Here is a 16,212-nt window from a genome sequence, read left to right as displayed (position 1 = left end):
AGACGGGGTTTCACCGTTTTAGCCGGGATGGTCTCGATCTCCTGACCTCGTGATCCGCCCGCCTCGGCCTCCCAAAGTGCTGGGATTACAGGCGTGAGCCACCGCGCCCGGCCGAGTCTGTACTCTTTAGATTGATATTAAAGTCTCTCTACGGTCCATCCCCAACCTACAACCTACGTTTGGTGGTTTCCATTAAACCACATTTCAGACAAACCAAAGAACTCAGGGTTTTTCCAACATGAACCCTTGATACTATATATATATATATATATATATTTTATCATTCATGACATATTTATATTTTATTTTTCTAATTTTCCAGATCAGGATCAGCCCAATCAGAATTAATCTTTTTTTTTTAAAGGAGTATGGACCATTAGTTAAGTGTACAGGCTTTTAGGTATCTGGGTTTAATTACTGTTTTTTGTTTGTTTCACAAAACCTAATTTACTGTCACTTATTATTTTTTCTATAATTAATAGTAGGCTGTTAATATCATTATTATATTTTGAATCTACCATTTATCACATTTTTTTGGTGTTTTTTCTATACTTATCTCTTAAACATAAGGTTTTTGAGGTCAGAAGCTTTGTCATACTTAAAATTTTAATCCCCCTTAACCCTCCAAAATCATGTACATTTTAGATATCTTTTTTTATAAATGTAGACTGAGTTGACTTGATAGAATTCTACCTTACTAATCATGTTAAAATTACCATAACTTGTGGCAAATCCAAATACTGTGTCTTTCAATAATGTTTATCTTTCATATAGTCTTATAGCTTTGATGCAAATCAGTCTATAAAGTCTGTAAAATGAATCCATTCAGATAGTACTTCTGCCATGTATCTAATTCTGCCAAATATCTGTACTTTATATCTACTTCAGATATATCTAAAATTTCTTTGAGATATTTTAGTTTGTAATCAGAATCTAAGCCATCATTTTTAAAAAAATAATCTGTTATGTTACTGATTGAATTTCCTACTAAATATGCAAGACAAAATAGTCTTCACTTAATCAGGATAGCAACAAATAGCCTTCTTAAATAATATTACTTATATGCAATATCTGTATCCAGATTGAATTCCACTTTTTCTAAAAATGTAATTGTAAATGAAGCTTCCATCAGTATGGGTAAAATGTCCACAAGGGAGAATATAAAAAGAAGTCCTGAAATGTGTTAGTCATCGGTTTGGTTTTTAGACTTAATTTTCACAAAGTAAGTGTAGCACTGTTGACAAACTAACCTCTCCAAGCCTCAAATTTTTTATCTATAAAATGACTGTGTTACCTGAAGATATCTGAAATCCTTTTCAATTTAAGATAGTATATGAAACTGTTACCGAAATGAGGGAAATAGCAACCCTTAATTGTTTATGGTATTCTAGAGGACTACTACCAGAATCCATACTCATTCAATGAATATCCATTTAGTCAGTATATATTTATTGAATATGTATTGAAAATACATACAGGCACAGTTTTAGGAATCAGGAAGACAGTGCTAAAATCTCTACCTTCGTGGAATTTGCAGTTAAGTGAGGAAGACAGACAAAATATCAGGTAAACAGTGGATAGATTATAAACCCAGGAGTAGTGAAATACTATGAAGAAAAGTATGCTGAAGAGTAGAGTGTGACAGGAGGAGCTATTTTAAATAGAGAGAAGATATTTAAATAGGAATATAGAACATAAATTAGGTTAGAAAATAAGTCTGAAGAAAGAGCATTCCAAGCAGAGAACAGCAAGTGAAGCAACAGCCACATTTAGAAGGGCCCTTGGTATGTCTGGAGGAACATTGAAAAGGCCAGTGTGGTTTCAGTGGAGTGAGCAAGAGGCGATGAGGCCAAAAGTGTAGCCATGGCCAGATGGTATAAGACAGTAATTCCCAGAAGGAACAATCCACACATACCGCCTCCCACCACCCCGACCCACCCTCTGGACATTTGGCAACGTTTGGAGACATTTTTAGTTGTCACAATAGCAAAATGGATGCTACCAGCTCTAGTTTCTGGAAGCCAGCGATACTACTCAACATCGTAAAATGGACAGAAGCACCTCCTAACTATTGTTTGGCTCAAAATGTCCATAATGTTAAGGTTGGGAATCTCAGATACAGGGCTTGTAAGCCAAAGTAAGCAGTTCGTATTTTATTTTAACTGTGATGGGAATCCACTGGAAAATGTTCAGTAGGGCAGAAGGATGACATGGTTGGATCTGTTGTGTGGAGAATGACTAAAGATGGAGGAGAAGAGAGACATGAAAACTAGTGAGGAGGTGACTGCAAGAGTCCAGGAAGGAGAAGTTGGTGGCTTGGACCAGCATGGACGCTAAGGAGGAAAGGAGCGAGATTGTTGTTCTTCAGATATAAGTAAATTGAATCCTGGATTTTTTTTGCCTTTTTTGCTATGGTTTTCTGTCTGGCTTTAAAGTTTCATGAAGTGATTTAGATCATTTAACAATTTACATTTAGAGGACAACAGCTGGCCTACATGGCAGGGTGTCAAGGGGATGTATTTACGGAGGATTGACTCTTCAGTTGAGATCTTCACAACAATATGAGAAATTGCATCTTTCAACGATTCACTTTATCCTCTTGAATCCAATTTCTTATGGGTCAGACATATACCATATGAACCCAGTGGAGATAGAAGTCAATTTTATGCTGTTTATTATTATTTGGGGTTACATTTAAAGTTTGAAAACATTATCAAAAATGATTTCCTGCTCTTCCTATCTGAATGGAACATTCCCTGATTTTTCTCTTTCATAAAGAAAAAGTCAGGCTTATAATTGAGCATATTTCTTGGAAGTTGAGAACTTTGTTCTCCAATTATTGTGGCTTAGGTGATTGATAGCAAACATTCAAAAACATACAAAGATAAACAAAAATATTCAAAGTTCTACAAGGCACAAAATAGCCTAGAACATTTTATGTGAGCTTTATGTTTAATAGCAAACATACAGGTGCTCTGATCCATAACTCCTTTCATGCTTTGTAGCCCAGAGAATTCATAGGTTAGCACCCTGCCACCCGCCATGTACTAGTAAAACAAAAATGTCCTATATTGAGAAAGAAAAATAGATCTGACTCTAAACAATTCACTGCCCTACATTCATATGAATGCTGGTAGTCTGGGTATTGTAATATGGGTTTGTAATATAGGTTCATGTAGGCTGAAGCAATTTGGGCTTGAATTAGCAAGAATTCCTTATTTGATATTCTATAAAACTTATTTTATTCTTATTTATATTTAATGAAGAATAATCTATAGCTGCCAAATATGGAATGTAGTATGGCAATTCTTTTAAGAAGTCATTGTATTCTCTTTCTGTAGTACTATTGTTCTTGTGAAACTGTTGGAATAATTTATATAAAGGAATATTCAGTTAGAAAAATACATGATAATAGCAAACTAATCTTTGCTGACTTTGATAAGGTAGCTCTATTATTTTGCACCATTGGTCACGTAAAACGAAGGATTCCAATTCAAATTTAACCACATTCTAGTGGGTTCTTGTAATGCATTTGTATATAGAAATGTTATTAGTAGATAATTAAAACATAAAAAGAAGGGTTAAAAAGCCAAATGCAAAGGTCATTCAAAAGATACTGTATCGTTCTGTACTTTGAAGATCAAATAGTTTCATAATCATTGCAGGCAATAAATAATGAGTTGAGTTAACAGAGAAATTATTAAAAAATAAAATTACAAGCTCTATAAAGATCAAAAGAAAAGAAAGCACATCAGTCAGTTCATATGTCTTGATTAAAGAGTTGTCTTTGTGGCCCCGAAGGCCTAAAAAGTTAAAAATATTATTAACTCTGAAATAGGAGCACAAAGGCAGGTTTCCTGAGCTTCCCACCTAGAAGAGGATAACAAACTTTATTGTAATGACTGTGTAGATTGGTTGCTAAGTTCTTTATTTAAAAAAAAAAAAAAACAAACTCAGGAAAAAGAGCTGATTTTCTAGCTGGAGAGTACCTTCTGATTCTTTATGAATTATATGACAGGAAGAGCCAGTGTAGACTCAGCCCATCAGTATGTGCCCCAACTCTTAAATCTTTCACTTGTAATTTTACTCACAGATGGGGAGCAATCTCCAGGGAAGTAGATAATGTGTTTTATTTGTTCTGGCTTTTGTGTTTGTGTTTTTGTTTTTGTGTTTTCTTTTGCCTCCCCAATCTATGCAATAAATAGCAAACTTTTTAGACTTCTAAGTATGAAGACATTTTAGTATATTACTTAAACAAAAGTGATTATTTTAACAGGCATCCTGTTAGAACCAGCATTTGAGAAATCCTTAGCTTAGCGTAGTGAGCAGCCAGTTGAGGGCCCTTAGCAACGGCAAAATGAAGGATATTTCCATGAACTTGATTCATCCTCTGTTCTTGCCCTCTAACATTTATTTACTGATGCATTCAGTCTCAGAGGGAAAAAACAAATGGGAGGATTCCTGGACATATTGCCCTTAATTAATACTCCTAGCTTTTATAAGTTAGTGTTTGTTTTCTTCTTTTTTAATTTCTGCTAATTTCACTGCTATGACACAATTATTGGTCTTTAAATCTTTATATATTGTATTTATATATGTATATATAAAATATTTTATGTCTATTGTAATTACTTTTTATATGAATCCACATATAATTTACACAAAAGCATAAATATGGTAACATCATAATGCTTTCTTTGGAAGTGTTGTATGATTGTTTCTCCCTTTTTTTTTGTCTATGCTCTTCCCTTTTTTACTTTCTTTTATTCTTATTGAGTTCTTTCATCCTTCACCCATGTCAACAACCCCTTGTGTATCTTCAATATAATTTTCTTTATACTAGGGTAATGATTCCCATATTCACATTCACATTTGCATATAGTGGCTTTTAAACCTTTCCTTTTTACAAAGGATAAATCATATCATGTGCTTTTCTGCTTTTCTATTCGATAATTTTTGAAAAAATCTCTGAAGTTAATTGATGGCTCTAATTTGTTCTTTTTATGGGTTATATAGCATTCCATGGTATGGACATACCATCATTTATTAAACCATCCTGTTTTAAGTATTATCTTTGCATCCAGATTTTTTGCCACTCTGAACAGTGTTATGAAAAACATTATTGTACCTGTGTCCTTACATAGTTATGTTATGGCACTATCCCAGGAGCAGAATTGCTAGATCTTAAGGCAAATGAATTTTTAAAATGTTATGGATGCTGCCAGATTGCTTCCAAAAAGATTATAACTCTTCCTATTTCTACCAGCAACGTGAGTGTACATGTTTCCTATACCTATGCCAGCAATATGTTTCAGCTGTTGGCTATAGAGTCATGTTTACTCTAATTTGTATTTTCCTGACTACTAGTGAATTTAAGCAGTTTTTCCTGTCTCATCTGTCACTTGCCTATTTGTATCTTTTATCCATTTTCAATTGGATTGTTTGTCTTTTTTAAAAATCATTTCATTATATATGCAACATCTGTACAACATTTACCCCCCATAGATACTGTTAATCTGTTGACTTCTGTATTTGTGGCACATTTTGCCTTTCAAAAATTTTTAATTTCAAAATACTGAGGTATTTTCGTATGTTATTTTACAGCATACCTTTTGCTTTTTAATCTTACTTTAAAAGGCTTTCCCCAATCCTACTTTATACATGTAGCTTCCAGATTCTTTATTTAAAATTGGCAAGAGGATCACTTGAGGCCAGGAGTTGGATGCCAGCCTTGGTAACATAGTAAGACCCTGTCAATACAAAAAAATAAAAAATAAAATTGAGGCATGGTGGCACATGCCTGCAGTCCTCGCAACTTGGGAGGCTGAGGTGGGAAAATTATGCATGCCCAGGAATTTGAGACTACAGCTGCAGTGAGCTATGGTCATGCCACTGCACTCTAGCCTGAGCAACGAAGCGAGACCTTGTCTCTAAAAAAAAAAAGCAGAATGCACTGAAATGTATTTTTCCCTATATAACTATCATACTAGCATATGCAAAAGACCTACAAACTAAATGAAGATGATGCAAACACCCAGTAAATTATTTTCAGAGAAGATTTTCTAAACAAATGCAATAATACCAATTATATGTAAAATAACATACGAAAATACCTCAGTATTTTGAAATTAAAAATTTTTGAAAGGCAAAATGTGCCACAAATACAGAAGTCAACAGATTAACAGTATCTATGGGGGGTAAATGTTGTACAGATGTTGCATATATAATGAAATGATTTTTAAAAAAGACAAACAATCCAATTGAAAATGGATAAATATTTTTTTTGAAAAATAAAATTATACTTAACAAGTTCACTATTGTATTTAAATTGGCTTGCCAGAAGTCATCCATAGAATAATGATATGATTCACTATTTGTATCCATGATAAAGCCCAATTTAACAATAGGTAAACTAATTATGGTATCTACACCTTTAACATTTTATGCAATCTATCATCATTTTAGCAAAAACTAAATTTAAATATATTTTCTTTACAGTGTGGAGTTATCTTTTCTATATTGAGTCAACTTATATAATGTCTGTAATTATGCTATAATTACAATAGTATTTTTACTATTTTACTAGGTTGGCGCAAAAGTAATTGTGGTTTTTGTCATTACTTTTTAAAATGTCAAAAACCTCAATTACTTTTGCACACAAATCTCATCTAATCAGGAGGCTGAGGTGGGAGGATGATTAGAGGCTAGGAGTTCAAGAGTAGCCTGGGCAACATAGCAAGACACCATCTCTAAAACATTTTTTTTAATTAGCGGGGCATGGTGGCACACACCTGTAGTCCCAGCAAAACATGATTGTGTTTGCATAAAATTCTGACAACTCTACAAAATAAAACTAGAATAAGAGAGTTTAGCAAGGCTGCAGGATAGAAGACCAATAGAGAAAAATCAACTGCCTTCCTATGTAGTACAATGAAAAACTGGGAGTTACAATTTTAAAATATCTTTTAAAATAACATTAAAACAGTAAATACTTAGATATTAATTTAAGAAAATATGTGCAAGACAGTTATGCTATCAGTCCCACAACAGAACAGAAACATCTTCAAAGACCTTTAAAATTGGAAAGATATGCTATGTTCATTAATCAGAACACTCAATGTTGTTAAGATGTCATTTCTACCTAAATTGCTCTATAGATTCAGTGCAATCCCAATCAAACTCCCAGCAGGCTCCTTTGCACAGACATGGACAGGGGATTCTAAAATCTGTTTGGAAATGCAGAGGACTTAGAATAGCCAAAGGGGTTTGGAAAGGAGTATAACAAAATTGGGGGACTCATTGCACCTGATTTCAAGACCTATAAAGCCACAATTATCATGGCAGTATGATATTGCTATAAACATCAATGGAACAAAATAGAGTCTAGAAAAAGACTCATCCATATAGGGTGATATGGTTTGGCTGTGTTCCCACCCAAATCTCATCTTGAATTGCAACTCCCACAATTCCCACATGTCATGGGAGGAACCCAGTGGAAAGTGATTGAATTATGGGGGCAGATCTTTCCTGCACTGTTCTCGTGACAGTGAATGAGTCTCATGAGATCTGATGGTTTTAAAAAGTGGGAGTTACCCTGCAAAAGCTCTCTTCTCTTGTCTGCCACCATGTGAGATGTGCCTTTCACCTTCCTCCATGTTTGTGAGGCCTCCCGAGCCACGTGGAACTTTAAGTCCAATAAACTTCTTCCTTTTGTAAATTGCCCAGTCTTGGGTGTGTCTTTATCAGCAGCATGAAAATGGACTAATACATAGGGTAAATTAATTTTAACAAAGTTGCCAATGGTAAGTCAAGGGAGAAAGAATAGTTTTTTCAAAAAATGGTACTGGAAAAATTGGATAACCATATGTAAAAAATTGAAATTTGAACCATACCTCAGACTGCATAAAAATTATTATAAATAGCCTAAAAGTATAAAACCAGACGAAGAAAACACAGGAGAAAAATCTTTGTGATTTTTGGGTTAAGCAATAATTTCTTATGAAAAACATGTATTTTAAAAGAAAAATGTTTTAAATAGACTTCATCAGAATTAAAAATGTATATTCTTTGTAGAAAAAAACTGTTAAAAATTTAAAAGCACAGAGATTAGGAGAAAATATTTACAAAACATATCTAATACAAAATTTATATCCAGATTATATAAAGAATTCTTACAACTCAGCAATAAGACAAATCACTAAATTTAATTTTTAAAAGTTGAATAGATAATTCACCAAAGAAGATGTGCAAATGACAGATAACATGAAAAGATGCTCAAATCATTAGTCATTAGGAAAATGCAAATTAAAACCATTATATGCCCCTAAAATGGCTAAAATGGAAAGAATGATAATATCAAGTGCTGGTGAGATGTGGAACAACAGAAACTCTTAAACATTGGTAGTCCCACTGCTTTGGAAAACAGTTCTGTAACCAAACACAGGTCCCATCCCTCACCCCTTGCAGTATCTAATTAACAATAGTGAGATCTGATAGAAAGTAACTTTACTCCTGAGGTAGCTGAGGGGAGGTATTATAGGCTCCTGCCTTGAGGGTACCACTTCAGTCTTCAGGACAAGAAGGCAGGGGCTTTTAAAGGGGGTTTGGCATGAATGACATGTAGGGGAGGGGGTGAGGAGGTACGGGGTCTTCGGATGTCTTACCTGTCAGGTGGTCTGGTTGGCACCAAGGTGGGTAGAGTCAGGTTGTAAATTGGGGCTACCTCCTGGTGGAAGAGAGTTCTGGAGGCACCTGGTTTGCTTCAAGGTAGGGTCTCTGGGACTTCTAAGTAAACTCATAGATAAGTTTGCCATGCCTGGTGGAGAGAAGGTAAAGGCTACATTTGCCTTCATTAAGAACCGAGTAGGAGGTGGGGGAAAAGAAAAAGAAAAAAAATCATTTTTTCCTTTTAAAAATAGGGTATTTGGCCACAGTTTTACAGTTTAAACATTCACGTACCATGTGAGCCAACCATTTCATTTATAGAAGAGAAATGAAAATGTGTCATACTTATACTGAAATGTTCATAGCTGCTTTAGTGTTCATATTCAAGAATTTGGGGTACTGTGCTCACTATCTGGATAATGGATTCATTCACATCTCAAACCTCAGCATCATGTAATATACCCATGTAAAAAACCTGCACATGTACCCCCTGAATCTTAAATAAAATATGAAATTATTTGTGTAAAAAGTCAAAAATTAGAAACATCTAAAGTGTTCATGAACTATTGTTTGACAAATTCTGGTACATTCATATAGTAGTATACTATTTTTTTAAAAAAGTAACAAACTACTTTGGTTTGAACAATGTGAACTGATCTCAAAAGCGTTAGACTAAAGTAAGAAGCCAGAAATAAAAGAATACGTATTGTGTGTTCCCATTTACAGTCATACCTTGTTTTATTGTGCTTCCCTTAATTGTACTTTGTAGATATTAAATTTTTTATAAATGTAAGGTTTGTGGCAACCTTGCATCCAGGAAGTCAATTGGCACCATTTTCCCAAAAGAATATGTTGGTTTTGTGTGTCTGTCAGCATTTTTTAGCAATAAAATATTTTTAAATTAAGGTATGTATTTTTAGATATAATGTTATTGCACACTTAATAAACTACAGTATAATGTAAACATAATTTTTGTAAGCACTAGGAAACCAAAAAAGTTGTGTGACTTTCTTTGTTGCAATATTGCTTTATTTATTGATTGAGGTGGTCTGCAATTGAACCGACAATATATTGAACGTATGCCTGTATGTAAAATTCTAGAAAAGGCAAAACTGTAGTGACAGAAAGCAGCATAACAGTGATTGCCTGAAGCCAAGGATGAGGGTGGGGTAGATTTCTCACAGAGAGACATGAAGAAACGTTTTTGGGTAACTCAAGTGTTTCATATCTTGATGTAAATAGTGATTATGTGACTGTTGATTTTTAAATTCATTGAGTTGTATAGTTAAGATTGCCGAATTCTATTTCATGTAAATTATACCCCAATAAGGGAACTCTATTGTCAATTTAATTTTATTATTATTTTTTTAAGGTAGTCCATGTTTTTTCTCTGGAAGCTTTTCAGAATTTGAGGTTGGGAGTAGTGAGACTTCAGTGTTCTACAATTTCATTACAACGTATGATAGTTTGATTTTTGCTTGTTATTTGCACTGATTCCAGAACCTGCATTTGTAGTGGTCAAAGGAAAACTTCCCTTTAGCCCTCTGAAAATTGACTGAAAAGTGACTGACAAAAGGCAGATTAATAGGAGCGAAGGCATACAAAGTGCCGTGGAGGGTTGGGTCACAGAGCAAGTACACCATGCAGCGGAGTACAGACCATTTTATACCCTTCTTTTTAGGGGGAAGGGAGATGGGGAAGTGTGGATAATTTTAGGGTGGTAATAGATGGTTTTTATGGGAATTCAATGGGGTTGAACATACAATGGCCTGAGACAAGTTGGACCCACAAAGCAGACGATGGTTTGTGACCAGTCTGTTCAGGTATGTTGAGACTTCAGACTTTTTTCCTGCGATATGAGTTCAGTTAATGAAAACTCAGGGAACGGACCAGAGGTAACCATTTTCTTCTGAGCCAGTCTGGACTTCAGGGAGATAAGGGAACGTCAGGGAACAGCTTCATCATGAGCTTTATTTAGGAGAGACAATGGGTTGAGAAACAGGAGGTGGAAGGAGGTCAGAGAGACCTCGAGGCTTCTTCAGTTTAGCACATCAAAGTGCCGTATTTTGGGATATCAATTTCTGAGGCCCAGCACATTTATTCATTCATCAATTCTGGAAAATCCTCTACCACTATCTCTTCAAATATTATCTATTCCTTGTTTCTTTTTATTCTCTTTCTTTGGAACTTTGATTACACAGATGTTACATTTTCTTACAATGCTTCCCATATCTTTCTAATGTCTCTAATATTTTCCATTTCTTTAGCTCTCTGTATTGAATTCTACTCCAGTTCATTACTTCTTTCTTTAACTCATGGTAATTTGCTTTTTAACCCACTTATTTAGTTATATATTTTAATTTTTAGAATTTCTATTTGGTTCTTTTTCAAGTGTCTATCTTTAAAATATTATATTCTTCCTTACTCATGTATTTAATTCCCTTTATACTTTTTAAAATATTTAAATATAGCATGTATATTCATAAATCCAGTATTTGAAGTTTGTGGGAGTCTAATTTTGCTACTTATTGTTTGTCCTGACTCACTAAGGTGGGTATTTCCAAATGAGATTTGTAATTTTGGATTGTGGGTTCTTGTCAGCTGGGATTTATCTATAGAAAACCTGAAAACCACATTTGAGGGATTATTCTCTGCCAGATGCCTGGGGCCAATTAAAGTTGATTCTTAACTTTGTCAGACTACCCAAGTAGTGTGAATTCGAACCTTAGTTTCACTTGAGAGCGGAAGGTGGATTCTCAAGAGAGAGTTTTTTTCTCTTTCAGAGGCCAACACTGCATAGGCAAGTGTTCCTTTTAGTTTTCTTTCCTGATGGTGGATTTTTTTTTTTTTTTTCTGGTTCTATCTGTTAACAATGATAAAGAGACCTAGTTCTAACTGCTGATATTTCTGGGTCCAGAGCCCCTGACTTCTGGTCCTTCAAGACAATGAAAACCATGGATCTAGTATCCAGGGAGCAGTAAACATCCTCAGGGCAGCCACTATTTTGGAAAATGAGAAAAGCTAAGAGAATAATTTGAAAAATAAAGAAATAAGAATACCTTAAATCAATCATGAATTATTAATATAAATGACCTACTTAAGAGTGTGTGTGTGTATATGTATTTGGGAAATACTTTTAAGAAGAAATTCTTCCTTTCTTGTGGAAACAAGAATTACCTAGACAATACTTTTGTATTCACCCGATGACACTCAAAAGATTCAGAGACTTAAAAACATTGTTTTCAAGGTCAAATCAAACTGGAGGTAATGATTCTTTATTCCATTTATAAGACCTAGGTAACTTGTCTTGGTAAAGGTAGTACTAAAAATGCCTTTTCTTTTAGACAGGTAGTTAGAGTACCATACAGAGCTCATTTTTGACTGTCAAAACCAAAATTATTTGCAAGTCATAGATACATACAACCTTGTAGGCTGACACCTCACTTAACTGTTAAATCACCTAAAAGATTATCTTGTCTTTCTTTTATGTGAATTCAGGAGCACAAAGCTATTTAAAATTCTTTCTCTAGAGAAATTCTATTAGGAGTATTATATTTCTTTGGCAGTCCTAAAAGGGACCAGCCCAATATTTTAACATCATATTTTTTAAAGCTACTTTGGATTATTCTTTAAAAAGTTAGATTGAAACCCAAGAAACAGAATATGCACTAGGATATAGCGTGAATTTTACCAGGGTTCTTCTATAGCTCGAAGAGTTCTTTCAAATCTGTCTGGTATCTAGGAAACCACTCTGTATTAGCATAGCAATATTCAAATATACAAGAGACTAGTAGGTAAAAACACAAATAGAGTATACTTTCACTTACTACTCTCTGCATATTTGAATATGCAGAACACAGATAGTGTTTTTACATGTAAGTTTTAGAGTGTCCCAGAAGGACGTAGGAGCAAAAGAAAAAAAAGATTGATTGTACCATTAAAAATAGTCTATAGTCACAGTGCAACCGTAGGGAGAGGAAATTACTGAAGCGTAGTTCAGGTAATTTTAAAAAACTGATGCTAATAGATAGCAGAGGCTGAACACATTCTGACTTATAAAATGAAAGAAAATAATGGACAAAGGAAGACAATAGCAATAATAACTACCATTTATTGGGTTCTGACTATACATCAGAACTATACTCAGCGCTTTACTTAAATTAAAAACAGTCTCAACTACAAGAGAATCCACTTATCAAGTGTTTAATATATGCCACTTTTATCTATAGAATAACTTTTTGAGTTAGGTATTGTTACTTGCCCAGCTGTGTAACTGAGGAAACTGACACAGAGTTTCATCAACTTGTGCAGATCATGTAAGCTTGAAAATGTTAAGTAAGATACAAAAGCCAAGATAGGCTGGCTCCAGAGACTATGTTGTATAACAATCTTTCCATTATATTTTCATCCAACTACTAACCTTCGTTTCAGCCCAGTTGGGGCAGGAGTCCCTAACCCCCAGGCCACGGACTGGTACTGGTCTGTGGCCTGTTAGGAACTGGGCGGCACAGCAGGAGGTGAGCAGCAAGGGAAGCTTCATCTGTATTAACAGCCACTGCCCATTGCTCTCATTACTGCCTGAGCCCCGCCTCGTGCCAAATCAGTGGTGTCATTAAAGTGTCACAGGAGCATGAACCCTGTTGTGAAATGCGCATGTGAGGGATCTAGGTTGCATGCTCCTTATGACACTCTTATACCTGATGATCTGTCACTATCTCCCATCACCCCCAGAGGGAACCATCTAGTTACAGGAAAACAAGCTCAGGACTCCCACTGATTCCACATTATAGTGAGTTGTATAATTGATTCATTATATATTACAATGTAATAATAATAGAAATAAAGCGCACAATAAATGTAATGTGCTTGAATCATGCCAAAACCTTCCCCCATCCACCCTGGTCCATGAAAAAATTGTCTTCCATTAAATCAGTCCCTACTGCCTAAAAGGCTGGGGACTGCTGAGTTAGGGTATGTCTTGTCCCACTTTAAAGATGGGCAAATAGAGGTAGAAACTCTAAGTAACTTGCAAAAGATTACTTGTGAGTAATCGTATCAAAATTAAAACTGGTTTAGTCTGTTTCCAGAACCTATGTACTTCCCACTCTATTATTCTGCCTTTATGGCAGTATTTTTTATTCTTCAGATATTCATTCATTTGGTCATTCATTTAACAAATGTTTACTGAGCACTCTGTGTAGTCTGTTCTGGGCTCTGGGGATACTCTTATGAACAAATAAGGCAAAGTTCCAAAGACTGCATTCTAGTGGAGGGACATAAAAAATAAACAAACAAACCCATAAATGTATATCAAGTGTTAGCAGGCTCAGAAAAGAAAAATAAAGCACTGTAAGCAGCTAGAAAATAACAGGATAAAGGCTATATTTAAATTTTTCAGATAAGACGGTCAGTGCAAGGAAACGTGTAACTGTCACTGGTCTTTTATGATGCTGTTGCTTTCTATCACAAGTATCTTGGCTTATATGACATTAAAACTCAATCTTGGTTTCATATCACTCTTCTGGTTTCTGGAATATGCTTGATTTAAAACTCACCGTGTCACTGCAGAAATGATTTTATGCTGGTTTTCCTTTGTAATTCTTGAATGGTTATTTGAAGAGACAAAATTGGTAATTGTTTTCTTTCTGAGCATTTATCCAGAATACCCAGCTTAATAAGGTGAACAAACGTTTGGACTGATTTGGAGAGTATGCCTTGCCAACAATTAAGTAAAAGGATATTCTCTTTGTCATTAACATTTCATGTAGAATATTAGTTCTTAGAGGCAATCTAATAATAAAAGCTGTAGTGATGTCAGGAACTAATTGACTGATTTTAATTGAAGAACACTTATATTACAGAGTATATGATGGTAAGATGTGTTCAACTTGTTTTTCACTTTTCTTTAAAAAGCTGAAAACTTTCTTCGCAATAGTAATTAAAAATAAACAGCAGTCATTAACTTACTGTGGGCTTTTCTAACAGCCACAATATTGCTTCGTTGCATGAATGATTTACTGATCTAAAGTAAAGTAATTCAACACTGAAATTATCTTGAAAATTAAAAACCATCCTAGATAATGAATAGTTTCAGTTTCTGTAGCACCAATTTATGTTTAGTTTTTTAAAATACATTATTCTGCACACATACAAATTGCTAACTAATAAAAATAGTCTCAAAGGGACACCACCTCAAAGAACAGTATGTATGCCAAGCTCAATTTCTGAACTCTGCAGCCTTGGAGGTGATATTTATTCATTCCTTCATTCAGCCAACACTTACTGAGAAGCTTCTTTAGGCCAGGCGTTTTCCTGAGCTTTTTAGGGGATAAAAGAGAGAAAAAAAAAAAAGCAGTCTCTGCCCCAAAATAACTTCTTATTGTGGGATTAGGATAATATTTTATTGTAAGCCTGTCTCTTTCGTTTAGTTGGTTGTATCATAATTTATTGAACCAATTCTGTGTTGTTGAATATTTAGGTAAATTATTTTTTTTTTTTTTGCTATAAAAAGCCTTGTTTGAACACCCCTTGTAATGAATAAATTTGTCTATATTTCCGATTTTATTTTTCAAATGGATTTCTACAAGTAGAATAACTAAGTCAAGAGGCATAAACATTTTAGTATCTTAAAACTGTACCAAAAATTGGCCTAAAATGGAAGTATAGGGAAAAACATTATACCATTATACATTGCTACAAAAACTGCGTGAGATAGCCTTTTCTTAGTCCATTTCCTTGCCAACATTAATATAGAATGTTTTGCAACGTGTGTATCATCGATCTTTAGTCTTCACAATTGTTAAAAAAATTTCATTTTTAGGAATACTTTAGTGCTGGTTAAAAATTTTCAACTGATACTGATAGTTTGTATCTAACAAGAAGTTATTCAGATTATGTTCTTTCCTTTATTTCTTACTTATGCTAAAATTTAGAGTATTAAGAGGTTATGAAAAGTGTTGTCTATTGGTTTGAGAAGTTTGACCGAAAAAAATGAAGACTGTAGTTGTGCATGAATCAGTTGAAAAAGTTGAATATTGACTTAAAAGCAAATGTTAAAAAAACAAATAGATCTATATTTTGTTAGGGCTTACCGGATTTCATAAATACATATTTAGAATACTGTGAATTCTATTAAATAACAACACATTATATTTAGTGCCAATACATTTCATCTAAGCACAAAATTCTTACCTATAGAAATATAAAAAGAAAAAATGCTATGAATAGATTCAAATTGCTCTAACCACATCTTCCTTAAAAATGAAATTATGGAGAAGCTTCATGGTTAACCTGTCTGTAACATCTATATAATATTTTCACCATTCCTAAGTTTGTATGCCCAGCAGTTTGATCTCTTTTCTACTCATATCTCAGTGGTTACACTGTTTATTTCCAGAACCATAGGACACAAAAACCGGTATGTCAAAGTCCCCCGTGGTCACATCTGGGTTGAAGGTGATCATCATGGACACAGTTTTGACAGTAATTCTTTTGGGCCGGTAAGTCATCTTTTATCTTCTTGTTGATGTAATTGGATTTCAAAGGTGA

At 34.3% G+C, this 16,212-nt stretch overlaps 1 protein-coding gene across 20 annotated transcripts in view; it reads left to right on the top strand.

The window, feature by feature from the left end:
- Window positions 1-16,212, top strand: part of IMMP2L (inner mitochondrial membrane peptidase subunit 2) — an 899,849-nt gene that overhangs the window by 659,737 nt on the left and 223,900 nt on the right. For 15 of the 20 annotated variants that reach the window (NM_001244606.2, NM_001350961.2, NM_001350959.2 and 12 more), the window contains one exon: window positions 16,061-16,163. The exons of the other annotated variants lie outside the window; for them this stretch is intronic. In NM_001244606.2, coding sequence (NP_001231535.1) covers window positions 16,061-16,163 — 103 coding nt within the window. The remainder of the gene's footprint in view (window positions 1-16,060; window positions 16,164-16,212) is intronic. 20 annotated transcript variants of the gene reach the window in all.

Source organism: Homo sapiens, chromosome 7, assembly GCF_000001405.40.
Source record: "Homo sapiens chromosome 7, GRCh38.p14 Primary Assembly".
NCBI classification, from domain to species: Eukaryota; Metazoa; Chordata; class Mammalia; order Primates; family Hominidae; genus Homo; species Homo sapiens.
This window is presented reverse-complemented; position numbering and strand designations above follow the sequence as displayed.